The sequence below is a fragment of the Homo sapiens genome, chromosome 7 (genome assembly GCF_000001405.40).
Source record: "Homo sapiens chromosome 7, GRCh38.p14 Primary Assembly".
NCBI lineage: Eukaryota > Metazoa > Chordata > Mammalia > Primates > Hominidae > Homo > Homo sapiens.
Genome location: NC_000007.14, coordinates 66,109,913 through 66,122,555, shown reverse-complemented (window position 1 = coordinate 66,122,555; position 12,643 = coordinate 66,109,913). Strand labels below are relative to the sequence as shown.

The 12,643-nt window shown below is 47.3% G+C and overlaps 1 protein-coding gene across 5 annotated transcripts in view, besides 4 other annotated features; it reads right to left on the bottom strand.

The window, feature by feature from the left end:
* Positions 1-7,738, bottom strand: part of CRCP (CGRP receptor component) — a 39,751-nt gene extending 32,013 nt beyond the window's left edge. For 4 of the 5 annotated variants that reach the window (NR_024548.2, NM_014478.5, NM_001040647.2 and 1 more), the window contains exon 1: positions 7,586-7,709. Coding sequence is in view for 4 of the 5 variants with exons in the window: in NM_014478.5 (NP_055293.1) it covers positions 7,586-7,593 (8 nt within the window). In the remaining variant the exon portion in view is untranslated. Of the gene's footprint in view, positions 1-7,585 lie in introns of all 5 variants that reach the window. The other variant, NM_001142414.1, reaches the window with a different exon arrangement.
* Positions 6,801-7,329: an enhancer, noted in NCBI's record as "H3K27ac hESC enhancer chr7:65580214-65580742 (GRCh37/hg19 assembly coordinates)". NCBI's record gives its function as "activates a minimal SCP1, AML or CMV promoter by ChIP-STARR-seq in naive H9 embryonic stem cells {active_cell/tissue: H9 hESC(naive)}" and the evidence as "EXISTENCE:reporter gene assay evidence [ECO:0000049][PMID:30033119]".
* Positions 6,920-7,214: a silencer, noted in NCBI's record as "tiled region #11837; K562 Repressive DNase matched - State 1:Tss". NCBI's record gives its function as "represses a minimal TATA promoter and a strong SV40 promoter by Sharpr-MPRA in K562 cells {active_cell/tissue: K562}" and the evidence as "EXISTENCE:reporter gene assay evidence [ECO:0000049][PMID:27701403]".
* Positions 7,867-7,996: an enhancer, noted in NCBI's record as "active region_26081". NCBI's record gives its function as "activates an Ori minimal core promoter by ATAC-STARR-seq in GM12878 lymphoblastoid cells {active_cell/tissue: GM12878}" and the evidence as "EXISTENCE:reporter gene assay evidence [ECO:0000049][PMID:35858748]".
* Positions 8,643-8,833: a silencer, noted in NCBI's record as "fragment chr7:65578710-65578900 (GRCh37/hg19 assembly coordinates)". NCBI's record gives its function as "represses an EF-1alpha promoter that drives an FKBP-Casp9 reporter gene in an ReSE screen in K562 erythroleukemia cells {active_cell/tissue: K562}" and the evidence as "EXISTENCE:reporter gene assay evidence [ECO:0000049][PMID:32094911]".

Here is a 12,643-nt window from a genome sequence, read left to right as displayed (position 1 = left end):
CATTTGACACTTCTTGTAAAATTTGCTTAAAATGGTGAGTCAAGTGGATGTAAACAACTACTTGAGGAAACTGAATTCCAAATAAACAGAACAAAATGATCTCTTGGTGGACTTTCCTTAGAAGCAAACACATACACAAATGGCACATGCAAACAGTGCCTTTTTTTTTTTTTTTTTTTTTGAGACGGAGTCTTGCTCTGTCGCCCAGGCTGGAGTGCAGTGGCGCGATCTCAGCTCACCGCAAACTCCGCCACCCGGGTTCATGCCATTCTCCTGCCTCAGCCTCCCAAGTAGCTGGGACTACGGGCACCCACCACCACGCCCGGCTAATTTTTTGTATTTTTAGTAGAGATGGGGTTTCACTGTGTTAGCCAGGATGGTCTTGATCTCCTGACCTTGTGATCCACCCACCTCGGCCTCCCAAAGTGCTGGGATTACAGGCGTGAGCCACTGTGCCCGGCCAAACAGTGCCTATTAATTGCCACACAGTCAACTCTTACACAGGCAATGACGAAAATAATTGCTCAAATTCTCCTATGCCCAACCTATGCTATCAAGTCATGCTCTGAAAACCTAAACTCTGGTACAAGCAAACGGAGCAGCTTCTGAAGTCAATGAACAACTTAACTTGTAGCATTCTCTTGGGAGCTAGCAAATGAGTATCCTCTTTCCAGTCCTGTTACTGAGTTGTTATAGTACCTATTACCCACCTTTTCTAAATATGAGTATTTCCAGCTGTAAAAGGAAAGAAATCCTGACACTACCTCAAAAAGATGGTACAGAGGATAATGTCTATTTTCCCAATTATATATATTACGTTCAAGAATAAAAGAGTGGATACAAACTTTTCCAGCCATATAAATGATCATTTATAGACAAAGCCAAATAGCAAATACCTTATAGATAGAAATACCTAATTTTGCTATATAAATATTTTGCATGGTGGCGCATGCCTGTAGTCCCAGCTAGTCAGGAGGCTGAGGCAGAAGAATCGCTCGAATCCAGGAAGTGGAGATTGCAGTGAGCTGAGATTGCACCACTGCACTCTAGCCTAGGTGATGGAGTGAGACTCCATCTCAAAAAAAAAAAAAAATTGTATGCTTTTACTTGACGAAAATACATTTCCAAGTAATGGTCAAGAAATTTTTATTTTTAAATTGTCAATCAAATAAAGCATAAATATTCCTCCCCTTAAATAAATTTCTGGGCCAGCGCGGTGGCTCATGCCTGTAATCCCAGCACTTTCGGAGGCCGAGGCGGTAGAATCACCTGAGCTCAGGAGTTCAAGACCAGCCTGGCCAACATGATGAAACCCCATCTCTACTGAAAATACAAAAATTAGCCAGGCAGCTACCCAGTAGGCTCAGGCAGGAGGACTGCTTGAACTCGGGAGGCGGAGGTTGCAGTCAGCCGAGATTGCGCCATTGCACTCCAGCCTGGGTGACAAGAGCGAAACTCCATCTCAAAAAAAAAAGAAGAAATTTCAGGTATTATTATTATTATTATTATTATTATTATTATGTATTAGTTACTTAGTAGGTATTTCCTCAATCAGAATTTTAAAAAGTAGCAAAAACTTAGGGGAGCTGTTCATTGTGCCTCCTCACTTCAGGTTCTGGGAGTGTCTGATAGAGGTACAATATACAGGCATCCCCTGGTATTCACTGGAGATTGGTCCCAGGACCCCCACATATACTAAAATCCAAACATGCTTGTGTCCCAGAGAGCCTTGCAGAACCAGCAGCTAGGAAGCCAGCTCTCCACATACGTGGGTATATTCTCATCCCTCAAATACTATATTTTCATTCTCTGTGTTTGGTTGCAGATGTGGAACCTGCAGATATGGAGGGCCAACTGCATTTATTTTTTAAAATCTGCGTATAAGGAGATCCATGAAGTTCAAGCTCGTGTTGTTCAAGGGTCAACTGTATCTGCAACTCAAGGTTCTGCTAAAGATCCTAAGGAGCAGACTTCCAAAGGTCACGCCTCCTGTTGAAGACCAGGTGAGGACCAGAAGTTAGGCTTCCAGACCTTTCCACTCCAGGGCCCTTCCACTCCCAAATCACATGTCTATCTCAGGAAACCTCATTTTCCCATGAATTACTGGCTGCAAAATTCTTGATTGGTTACAGGAAGTCACTGACTACTTGGCAGAAGGGGACAGGCTGTTACAAGAACAAAACCCCGTGATTCAAACCATTTCACTTAGGAAAATCAGAAAATATACACGCCTAGCAACTAGGATGCTAGCTAATGAATTTATACAGTCGGCTTTCCTTAGCCTCAGGTTCCACATCCTTAGATTCAACCAACCTCAAATGAAAAACATGCAAAAAACATTTTTTTTTCTTTTTCTTTTTTTCTTTTTTTTTGAGACGGGGTCTCGCTCTATCGCCCAGGCTGGAGTGCAGTGGTGCGATCTTGGCTCACTGCAAGCTCCACCTCCCGGGTTCACGCCATTCTCCTGCCTCAGCCTCCCGATAGTAGCTGGGACTACGGGCGCCCGCCACAGCGCCCAGCTAATTTTTTCTATTTTTAGTAGAGAAGGGGTTTCACTGTGTTAGCCAGGATGGTCTCGATCTCCTGACCTCATGATCCGCCCCACTCAGCCTCCCAAAGTGCTGGGATTACAGGCATGAGCACCGGGCTGCAAAAAAAAATTTTAAGAAAATGCTACATTGTTGCTGACATGTACTATGTAGTTAGGCCTAGGATGGCTGCCTCTACACTGAACATGGATAGACTGCTTTTTGTCATTATTCCCTAAACAACACAGTACAACTACTATTTACACAGCCTTTACATTGCATCAGATATGACAAGTTGGTTGATAATCAAACAGTTTTTCCTCTGCTCTCACTCGACAACAATCAATACAGAAGACTTCTGTGACCAGATGTGTGGGGTTTTCTCTCTACCAATAAACAAGCAATCAATTCTGCAGCCAACACCAGCTGGGTACCCTCCAATCCAATTCATTTCAGACACTATCTGAAAACAGTGTGAGATTCCACAGGCTGAGGGCTCAGTCCCAGAAGACTGCCCCTACTTCAGACAGCAGTCACACAAGTCAGGGCCTCCAGAACTTCTCAACGGCGGGCTTCAAGCTGCAGTTCCCAAGACCTCCTCTTTAGGCTTCATTAATTTGCTAGAATGGCTCACAAAACACCTACTTAGGTTTACTGGTTTATTTAAAGGATATTACCAAGCATACAGATGAAGTGGTGCACAGGGTGAGGGATAGAGAGGGGGCGCAGAGCTCTATGCCCTCCCCAGGCATACCACCCTCCAGAAACTTCCACCTGTTAGACTATCCAGAAGTTCTCTTGGGCGTTTTGTAGAGATTTCATTAGAGAGATGATTGAAGCATGGCCAACCTCACAGTAATTGACTGGACAGAGAGTGTGATCTAATACTAAGACTGAGTGCAGACACCCAGCAAGGCCCATCCAGATTCTCCCTGGCCTCTGTGTGTGGTATTCCTTCCTACTGGGTAAGGGGCAGGACCCCCTCTGAAACAATCAGACGAGATAGGTCAGAGAATTTCTTTACAACCAGCTCTAAGACAGAAAGGCAGGGGATGATTAGAGGGCAAGAGACAGACAGAGCTTCTGTTTTCTGAGGCCTGCTTCTGAGGCTTAGAGTGCCCCAACATTCTAACAAAAGACTGTCTTTCACCTTTACTGCTCTGAAGCTGTCCCAAGGCCGCTTCAGGAACCTTGGACAAAGGACAAATACTTTAACAAAAGTTATGCTTACTGTTTTAGTCATTTAGGAAGTAATAAAGGCTATGGTAGTTATGAGCCAGGAACCATGGACAAAAACCGGTATTACATGTCATGGTATCATAATAAGTCATCTAGAGATGATTTAAAGTATATGGGAGAATGTGCATAGATTATATGCAAATACTACACCGTTTTATATCAGGGACTTGAGCATCTGTGAATTTTGGTATACGCAGGGGGTCCCAGAACCAATCCCCCAAAGACGCTGAGAGATGACTATATTTATGAAGCTAATAAAGTATTGTTATATTACTTTATTGAACAAGTATTTGCTGAATGCCTACTGTGTGCCAGATGCAATGCTAAGCACTAGGTGAACAGACACTGGTCCCCACCCTCCAAACAAGTAAACATACATTTATTATTGCAACTTGTAATTATTTGAGGGAAAGTAAATCAAGGTACTATGAAAGACAAAAAGAACTTATGTTAGTTAGACTTACTGAAGACGAAAGGCAACTTTGAAAAGGGACACAACCTTCAAGAACAGGTGGCCAGGTGTGGTGGCTCACGCCTGTAATCCCAGCACTTTGGGAGGCTGAGGCAGGCAAATCACCTGAGGTCAGGAATTCAAGACCAGTCTGGCCAACATGGAAACCCCGTCTCTACTAAAAATACATAAATTAGCTGGGCGTGGTGGCACACGCCTGTAATCCCAGCTACTTGGTAGGCTGAGGCAGGAGAATCTTGAACCCTGGAGGCACAGGTTGCAGTGAGCTGACATTGCGCCACTGTACTACAGCCTGGGTGACAGAGCAAGACTCCATCTCAAAAGCGAACTAAAAAAAGAACAATAAAAAGAAGAGAACAGGACGAGGGCGAGGAGGAAAGTATACCAGACAGAGGGTACCACAACGCAATGGTCCTCAGGAAGTGCTTAGAAGGTTAGAGGAGAAGGAAATACCTGTCAGTGGAAAGTGTGTGTCTGGGAGGTTGGGAGAGTGGCAAGTGGTAAGGCTGGGGAGTAGGTGAGGTTTTACAGGGTCTTGCAGGTCCTGGTAAGAGATGGAGATTTTCTCTAAGTACAATGGAAAGTCAATGAAGGGTTTTACCCAGGAGCGACATGTTCCAATCATTACTTAAGATCACTCCAGTTGCCATGTGGAGAACAGAATGGAGGCTGGGGAAGAGTGAACACTCAAAGGCTATTGCTTAATCCAGCCCAGAGGTGATGGACTACAAAGCTAACATTGGAGATGGTGAAAAGTAACTGCATTCAAAATATATTCTAGGGTGGAAACAACAGGACCACTGATGGACTGGATTTAGGGAGTGAAGAGAGAGGGCTAGATTTTTGGTCTATGCAATTGGATAGATGATGAGAAGAAGGTTAGAAACATACCTTTGAGAACCATCAGCACATAGATGGGTGAAATGACAGAGTGTGGAGAGAAAGGGTCCCAGGACTGAGCCCTAAGATACCACTCAACACTTAGACATCAAGCAAGAGAGGAACGGGACCCAGGGAAGGACACTGAAGTAGTCCTTGATGTAGGAGGAAATACGCAAAGGAACATACATCACAAGAAAAGGAAAGTTTCTAGAGTTTCTGTATTAACCACTGCTGAGAGATCAAGAAAGTTGAGGCCAGAAAATCAACCTCTGAATTTGACAAGATGGAGGGATCAGGTTTTTTTTTTTTTTTTTTTTGAGACAGTCTTGCCCTGTCACCTAGGCTGGAGTGCAGTGGCACAATTTGGTTCACTGCAACCCCTGCCTCCCGAGTTCAAGCGATTCTCCTGCCTCAGCCTCCTGAGTTACTGGGATTACAGGCGCCCACCACTACACCCAGTTAATTTTTGTATTTTTAGTAGAGAGGAGGTTATGCCATGTTGGCCAGGCTGGTCTCAAACTCCTGACCTCAGGGGATTCGCCCACTTCGGCCTCCTAAAGTGCTGCGATTATAGGCATGAGCCACCACGCCCCGCTGGTTCAGGTAATCTTAACAGTCATTCCCGTAGACCAGTGAGGATGAAAGCCCAACAGAATGGCTGAGAGAATGAGGGGCTAATCAGCACTTTCAAGAAGTTTTGTTGGGATGGGAAGCAGAAATGGAGTAAGAGGGGGACATGTATGTGGGGACGGAGGATTTTCTAAGATGAATTCTCTAAAGCAGGGTTGTATGCTCACAGGAAATGCTCTAGTAAAGAGGGAAAAATTAGTAATGATGGCTTGGACTAGAGTAAATTATATGAATAGTTTTTTAGGTTGCAGATGAAATCCCATCAGTGGGTTGCAAAATTAATTCAGTGGTTCAATTTTTTTTTTTTTTTTTTTTTAAGACAGAGCCTTACACTGTCACTCTGGCAGGAGTGTAGTGGCTCTATCTCAGCTCATTGCAGCCTCCTGGGATCAAGTGATCCTCCCATCTCAGCCTCGTAAGTAGCTGAGACTACAGGCATGAACCACCACACCCAGCTAACTTCTTAATTTTTTGCAGAGACAGGGTCTCCCTATGTTGCCCAGGCTGGTCTCCACCTCCCAGGTTCAAGTGATCCTTCTGCCTAAGCTTCCCAAAGTGCTGGGATTGCTGGTGTGAGCCACCACGGTTGGCCCCATTCATATTAATAAAAAATAGACAATATGAGAGTGTACGCCACACATTATTGTTTCATGAGCCTTTCATTTCAGTTACACAGACATATTGTGTTTAAAAAAAAATCGGAAGAGGCCAGGTGAAGTGGCTCACGCCTGCAATCCCAGGACTTTGGGAGTACAAAGCAGGAGGATCACTTGAGCTCAGGAGCTGGAGACCAGCCTGGGCTGTAGTGAGACCCTGCATCTACAAAACTTTTTTTAAAAAATTAGCGGTGAGTGATGGCGTGGGCCTGTAGTCCCAGCTACTGAAGAGGCTGAAGCAGGATTGCTTGAGTCCAGAAAGTGAGGCTGCAGTGAACCATGATTACACCCCGCCTGGGGGACAGAGCAAGACCCTGTTTCTTAAGAAAAAACAATTAATTAAAAATGTAAAAATGTGAAATGCCATAGTACATATAACCATTAAACATGAGGCAAAAGAACATAAAGGAAACTGTATCAAATAATCAGTTCAAAGAGAACACAAGATAGTAATACCTACAAATTAATATCAACCGTATAAAGCCCACATTCAGAGTAGATGCAAAATCTTCCATTTGCACCAGGCGCAACGAGCAAGCATGGAAAAGACCACGTGGAGTTAAACTGTCAGAAAATCTTTTACCCTCGCCTTGCACACACACCCACACACCCCCTGCTGTTTCTCTGGTCCCAGTCCTGGTTCACGTCCTTCCCTTCTCCACCCCAAAACCAGCCCCTTCCCTCACAGTGTTTACTGCTCCCATCAAATTCCGAGGGCAGCTCTTCCGAGGGCTCTCCAGGGGCCTACAGCTGCAAGCAGAGCTCTACCCGGCCCTGATTCGTCTCTCCTCCACCTACTTTCAGGGCGGACAGACTCAGGCCTTTATAGCCTTCTAAGTCCGGGGTCGGATACCAGACTGGGCTCCACCCCCGCACTGTGACCCAGAAACGCTGGTAAACGAATGAGAGAAGGAGGGGGCACATTGAAAGGCAGCCGGACACGGAAGTGCTCGGCCCCGCACCAGACACGGCGTGGAGGGGAAGCGAAGGTTCGGAAGGGCAAAGCGAGAGTCCCGTTCGTCCCCGTCACCACCCCGCGGCCCTCCCGGACAGGGCCGGCCCGCTGCCCTCACTCCCGTACGAGGGTCGCCCAGTCCCCACGGCTCTCGGCTCTCAGCTCTCAGCGGTCAAACCGTTGGGCTCCTCGGGCGAAAAGGGACGCGCCCGAGAAGACTTACACTTCCATGACGTCCCGCCTCGTCGCCCCTAGCTGCCAGCAGACAAAGAACCTCACACTTCACAGCTGTCTCCGCCGCCACCAACAGCGCCAAGGTGCCAGCTCCGCGCGCCAAGGTGCTCGCCGGGATCGCCGCGCTGCATGCCGGGAGCTTGGCGGACCCGGAACCTCGCGCTGCGCGTTCCCCTTTTTCGGGGGGCAGGGTGGGGGAGTGTCCCTGCATCCTTCCACCAGGCCGATTTAAGACTGCTAAGCGTTTGCGGACAGGATTATCTTGTGTTTTCTTTTCTTTTTTTCTTTAACCTTTTTTTTTTTTTGAGACGGAGTCTCGCTCTGTCGCCCAGGCTGGATCTCGGCTTACTGCAACCTCCGCCTCCTGGGTTCAAGCGATTCTCCTTCTGCCTCAGCCTCCCAAGTAGCTGGGACTACAGGCGCTTGCCACCAAGCCCGGCTAATTTTTTGTGTTTTTAGTAGAGACGGGGTTTCACCGTGTTAGCCAGGATGGTTTCAATCTCCTGACCTCGTGATCCGCCCGCCTCGGCCTCCCAAAGTCCTGGGATTACAGGCGTGAGGCACCGTGCCCAGCCTCTTTTTTTCTTTTTTGAGACAGAGTCTCGCTCTGTCACCCAGGCTGGAGTGCAGTGGCACGATCTCGGCTCACTGCAATCTCTGCCTCCCAGGTTCAAGCAATTCCCTGCCTCAGCCTCCCGAGTAGCTGGGATTACAGGCGCCCGCCATAACGCCTAGCTAATTTGTGTATTTTTTAGTAGAGACGGGGTTTCATCATCTTGGCCAGGCTAGTCTTGAACTCCTGACCTCGTGATCCACCCGCTTCGGCCTCCCAAAGTGTTGGGATTACAGGCGTGAGCCACCTCGCCGGGCTCTGTCTGTTTTCGTGGTCTAGGTTTTAACAAAGTATTAATCAGCTGAAGTTGTGAGACGTGATCGGGTTAGTGGGCCTTTGCATGTTAAAATCCCACCTCTCAGAGAGTAGTGAGGCTGGTGGCATCTGGGCTGCCAGAAACATTGCAGTTTATTTATTTATTTTTTAAGAGACAGGGTCTTGCTCTGTCGCCCAGGCTGGAATGCAGTGGTGCAATCAGAGCTCACTGCAGCCTTGAACTCCTGGGCTCAAGCAATCCTCCCACCCCAGCCTGCCAGAGTAGCTGGGACCACAGGTGCGCTCCGCTACACCTGGCTAATTTTCTTTTTTTCTTTTTCTTTTTCTTTTTTTTTTTTTTTGAGATCAGTCTCACTCTGTTGCCCAGGCTGGAGTGCAGTGTCGTGATCTCGGCTCATTGCAACCTCTGCCTCCTGGATTCAAGCAGTTCCCTGCCTCAGCCTCCCCAGTAGCTAGGATTACAGGTGCCCGCCATAATGCCCAGCTAATTTTTGTATTTTTTTAGTAGAGACGGGGTTTCACCATCTTGGCCAAGCTGGTCTTGAACTCCTGACCTTGTGATCCACCCTCATCAGCCTCCCAAAGTGTTGGGATTACAGGCGTGAGCCACTGCACCCAGCCACCTGGCTAATTTTCTAAAATAAAATTCTTTATTGTCCAAAGAGTCAGCTACAAAATTTTTTAATTTTTTTGTAGAGATGGGGGTCTCACTGTGTTGCCCAGGCTGGTCTTGAACTCCTCGCCTCAAGTGATCCTCCCACCTCCAACTCCCAAAGTGCTGGGATTACAGGTGTGAACCACCACAATAGCCTCTGTTGCCTACTTTGTAAATAATAAGGGTGTTAAATAATCCTTATAAAGTTCCTGGCACTTTATTAATTACTGTGGCAATACAACCATGACTCTCTATGAGGTACATTGCATTATTATTGACATTTTATAATTGAAGAAACTGAGGCAGACTTGGAGAGATTATGATTTACCAAAAGTCACTCATCTAGGAAGTTGTCCAGTGGGTATTGAACCCCAGCCAATCTGAACATATACAACAGATGCATTAACTAGAGACTGATGAGTGGATGAATAAAATGTGCTACATTTGTGCAATGGAAAACTACTTAAAAAGGAGGCTGGCCGGGCACGGTGGCTCACGCCTGTAATCCCAGCACTTTGGGAGGCCGAGGCGGGCAGATCACGATGTCAGGAGATCGAGACCATCCTGGCTAACAGGGTGAAACCCCGTCTCTACTAAAAATACAAAAAAAATTAGCCGGGCGTGGTGGTGGGCGCCTGTAGTCCCAGCTACTAGGGAGGCTGAGGCAGGAGAATGGCGTGAACCCAGAAGGCAGAGCTTGCAGTGAGCCAAGATCGTGCCACTGCACTCCAGCCTGGAAGACAGGGCAAGACTCTGTCTCAAAAATATAAAAATAAAAAGGAGGCCAGGCTTGATCTCAGCACTTTGGGGAGCAGAGGCAGGAGGATTTCTTGAGACAAGGAGTTCCAGAGCAGCCTGGGCAACATAGCTAGACCCCCTAACTACGAAAAGTTAGCCAGGTGTGGTGGTGAGCACCTCTAGTCCCAGCTACTGGGGAGGCTGAGGTAGGAGAATCGCTTGAGCCAGAAGGTAGAGGCTGCAGGGAACTATGATCACACCACTGCACTCCAGCCTACAGAGTGAGAGACCTTGTTGCAAAAAATATATATAGACAGACTGATAGATAAATGCTGCAAGATGGATAACCTCCCAAAACATGATGCTATTAATAAGTGAAAGAAGCCAGACACAAAATAATATATATTGCCTGGCCAGGTGGCTCACGCCTGTAATCCCAGCACTTTGGGTGGCTGAGGTGGGTGGATCATCTGAGATCAGGAGTTCAAGACCAGCCTGGCTAACATGGGGAAACCCTGTCTCTACCGAAAATACAAAAATCGCCAGGCGTGGTGGCTCACGCCTGTAATCCCAGCACTTTAGGAGACTGAGGCAGGCAGATCATGAGGTCAGTAGTTCGAGACCAGCCTAGCCAACATGGTGAAACCCCGTCTCTACTAAAAATACAAAAAGTAGCTGGGTGTGGTGGGGGGCACCTGTAATCCCAGCTACTCGGGAGACTGAGGCAGGAAAATTGCTTGAACCCAGGAGGCGGAGGTTGCAGTGAGCCGAGATCACGCCACTGCACTCCAGCCTGGGTGACAGAATGAGACTCCTTCTAGAAAAAAAAAAAAAAGAATACATATGGTATGATTCACTTTATATAGAATGTCCAAGAAGAGGCCAATCTATGGATACAGACAGAAGGCTAGGTTGGGGGCAAGGATGGGAAGTGATTGCTAATAAGTAGGGAGTTTCTCTTTGGGAAACAGAAATTGTCTAAAATTATTATAGATGGTGGTGGTGGTTGCACAACCCTGTGAATATACTGAAGACACTGAGTTGTATACTTTAAATGGCATATTGTACAGCATATTAATCCTATATTAATAAAGCTGTTAAACATTTTTTACTCTGCTGAGTGTGGTGGTCCACACCTGTAATCCCAGCACTTTGGAAGATGAAGGCAGGTGGATCGCTTGAGCCCAGTTTGAGACCAGCATGGGCAACATGGTGAAACCTCATCTTTACCAAAAAAATAGAAATTAACCAGCTTGATGGCTCGTGCCTGTAATCGTAGCTACTCAGGAGGCTGAGGCAGGAGCATCGTCTGAATCTGGGAGGCGGAGGTTGCAGATCACGCCACTGCACTCCAGCCTGGGTGACAGAGCAAGACTCCATCGCAAAATAACGACAACAAAAAAGTCATAAAATGCCACCCAGACCCAGCTGGCCTAGTTAGTGTGGAGAATTCCCTGTACCTTCGCTGAGGAGATTGGGCCCCACAAAGAAATGCTAAAGATGCCCCTTGTGTTATTCACTCAACAAGTATGTAGCCATGGCCCATCGGGGGCTGATGATACAAATGTGACTAACACACACCCTCTGCACTGGCTAGCTGACAGCCTAGTTGAGGAACCAGCTCTGGACATAAATAACCACAATGCATTGTGTTTCGACGCGATGGGCAGGGGAGGGAATGACTAATGAGGTGGAGAGGCGTCCCAAAGCCACGGGCCTTTGAAGTGGGTGAGGGAAAAGCACACGAGGCCGAGGGATTGGGTATGGGCTTCAGTGAAAAACAGCAGTGCCTCTGACAGCCCCCATGATAAAATGGCTCAGGTGTGACTTAGAGTAGGGAGTTAGCTGGGTGTTCGAATGATACCCGGTAGGCCAGGTGCGGTGGCTCATGCCTGTCATCCCATCATTTCGGGAGGCCAAGGCGGGTGGATCACTTGAGTCCAAGAGTTCAAGACCAGCCTGGCCAACATGGTGAAACCTCATCTCTACTGAAAATACAAAAATTAGCCGGGCATGGTGGCAGGCGCCTGTAATCCCAGCTACTCAGGAGACTGAGGTAGGAGAACCACTTGAGCCCGGGAAGCGGAGGTTGCAGTGAGCCGAGTAAACATTCTTTTTACTGTCTGCACCTCTGGTCCTGGATAGTCGCTGATCACCATGACAATTAAGGGTATGGACCTTAAGAAGAAAAGATTATCCTGGATTTTCTATGTGGTATCAACATAATCACATGGATCATTAAAAGCATAAAATCATTCTCACCTGATGTCAGAGCCCAAGGGAGGTGTGGCTAGGGAAGGGAAGAATGATCTGAGAGATGCAATATTCCTGCCTTTGAAGATGGAGGAAGGGGCCATGAGCCAAGGAATGTAGGTAACTGTAGAAGCTGGAAAAGGCAAGAAAACAGATTCTCCTGTGAAGCTTCCAGAAAGGACTGCAGCCCAGCTGGGTGCCACGGCTCACACCGGTAATCCCATCACTTTGGGAGCCCAAGGCAGGCGGATTACTTGAGGTCAGGAGTTTGAGATCAGCCTAGCCAACATGGTGAAACACTGTCTCTACTAAAAATTTAAAAAATTAGCTGGGTGTGGTGGCAGGCGCCTGTAATCCCAGCAACTTGGGAGGCTGAGGTAGGAGAATTGCTTGAACCCAGGAGGGGTAGGTTGCAGTGAGCCAAGATCGTGCACTCCAGGCTGGGCAACAGAGCGAGACTCTGACTCAAAAAAAAAGGACTGCAGCCCTACCAACACCTTGATTTTAACCCA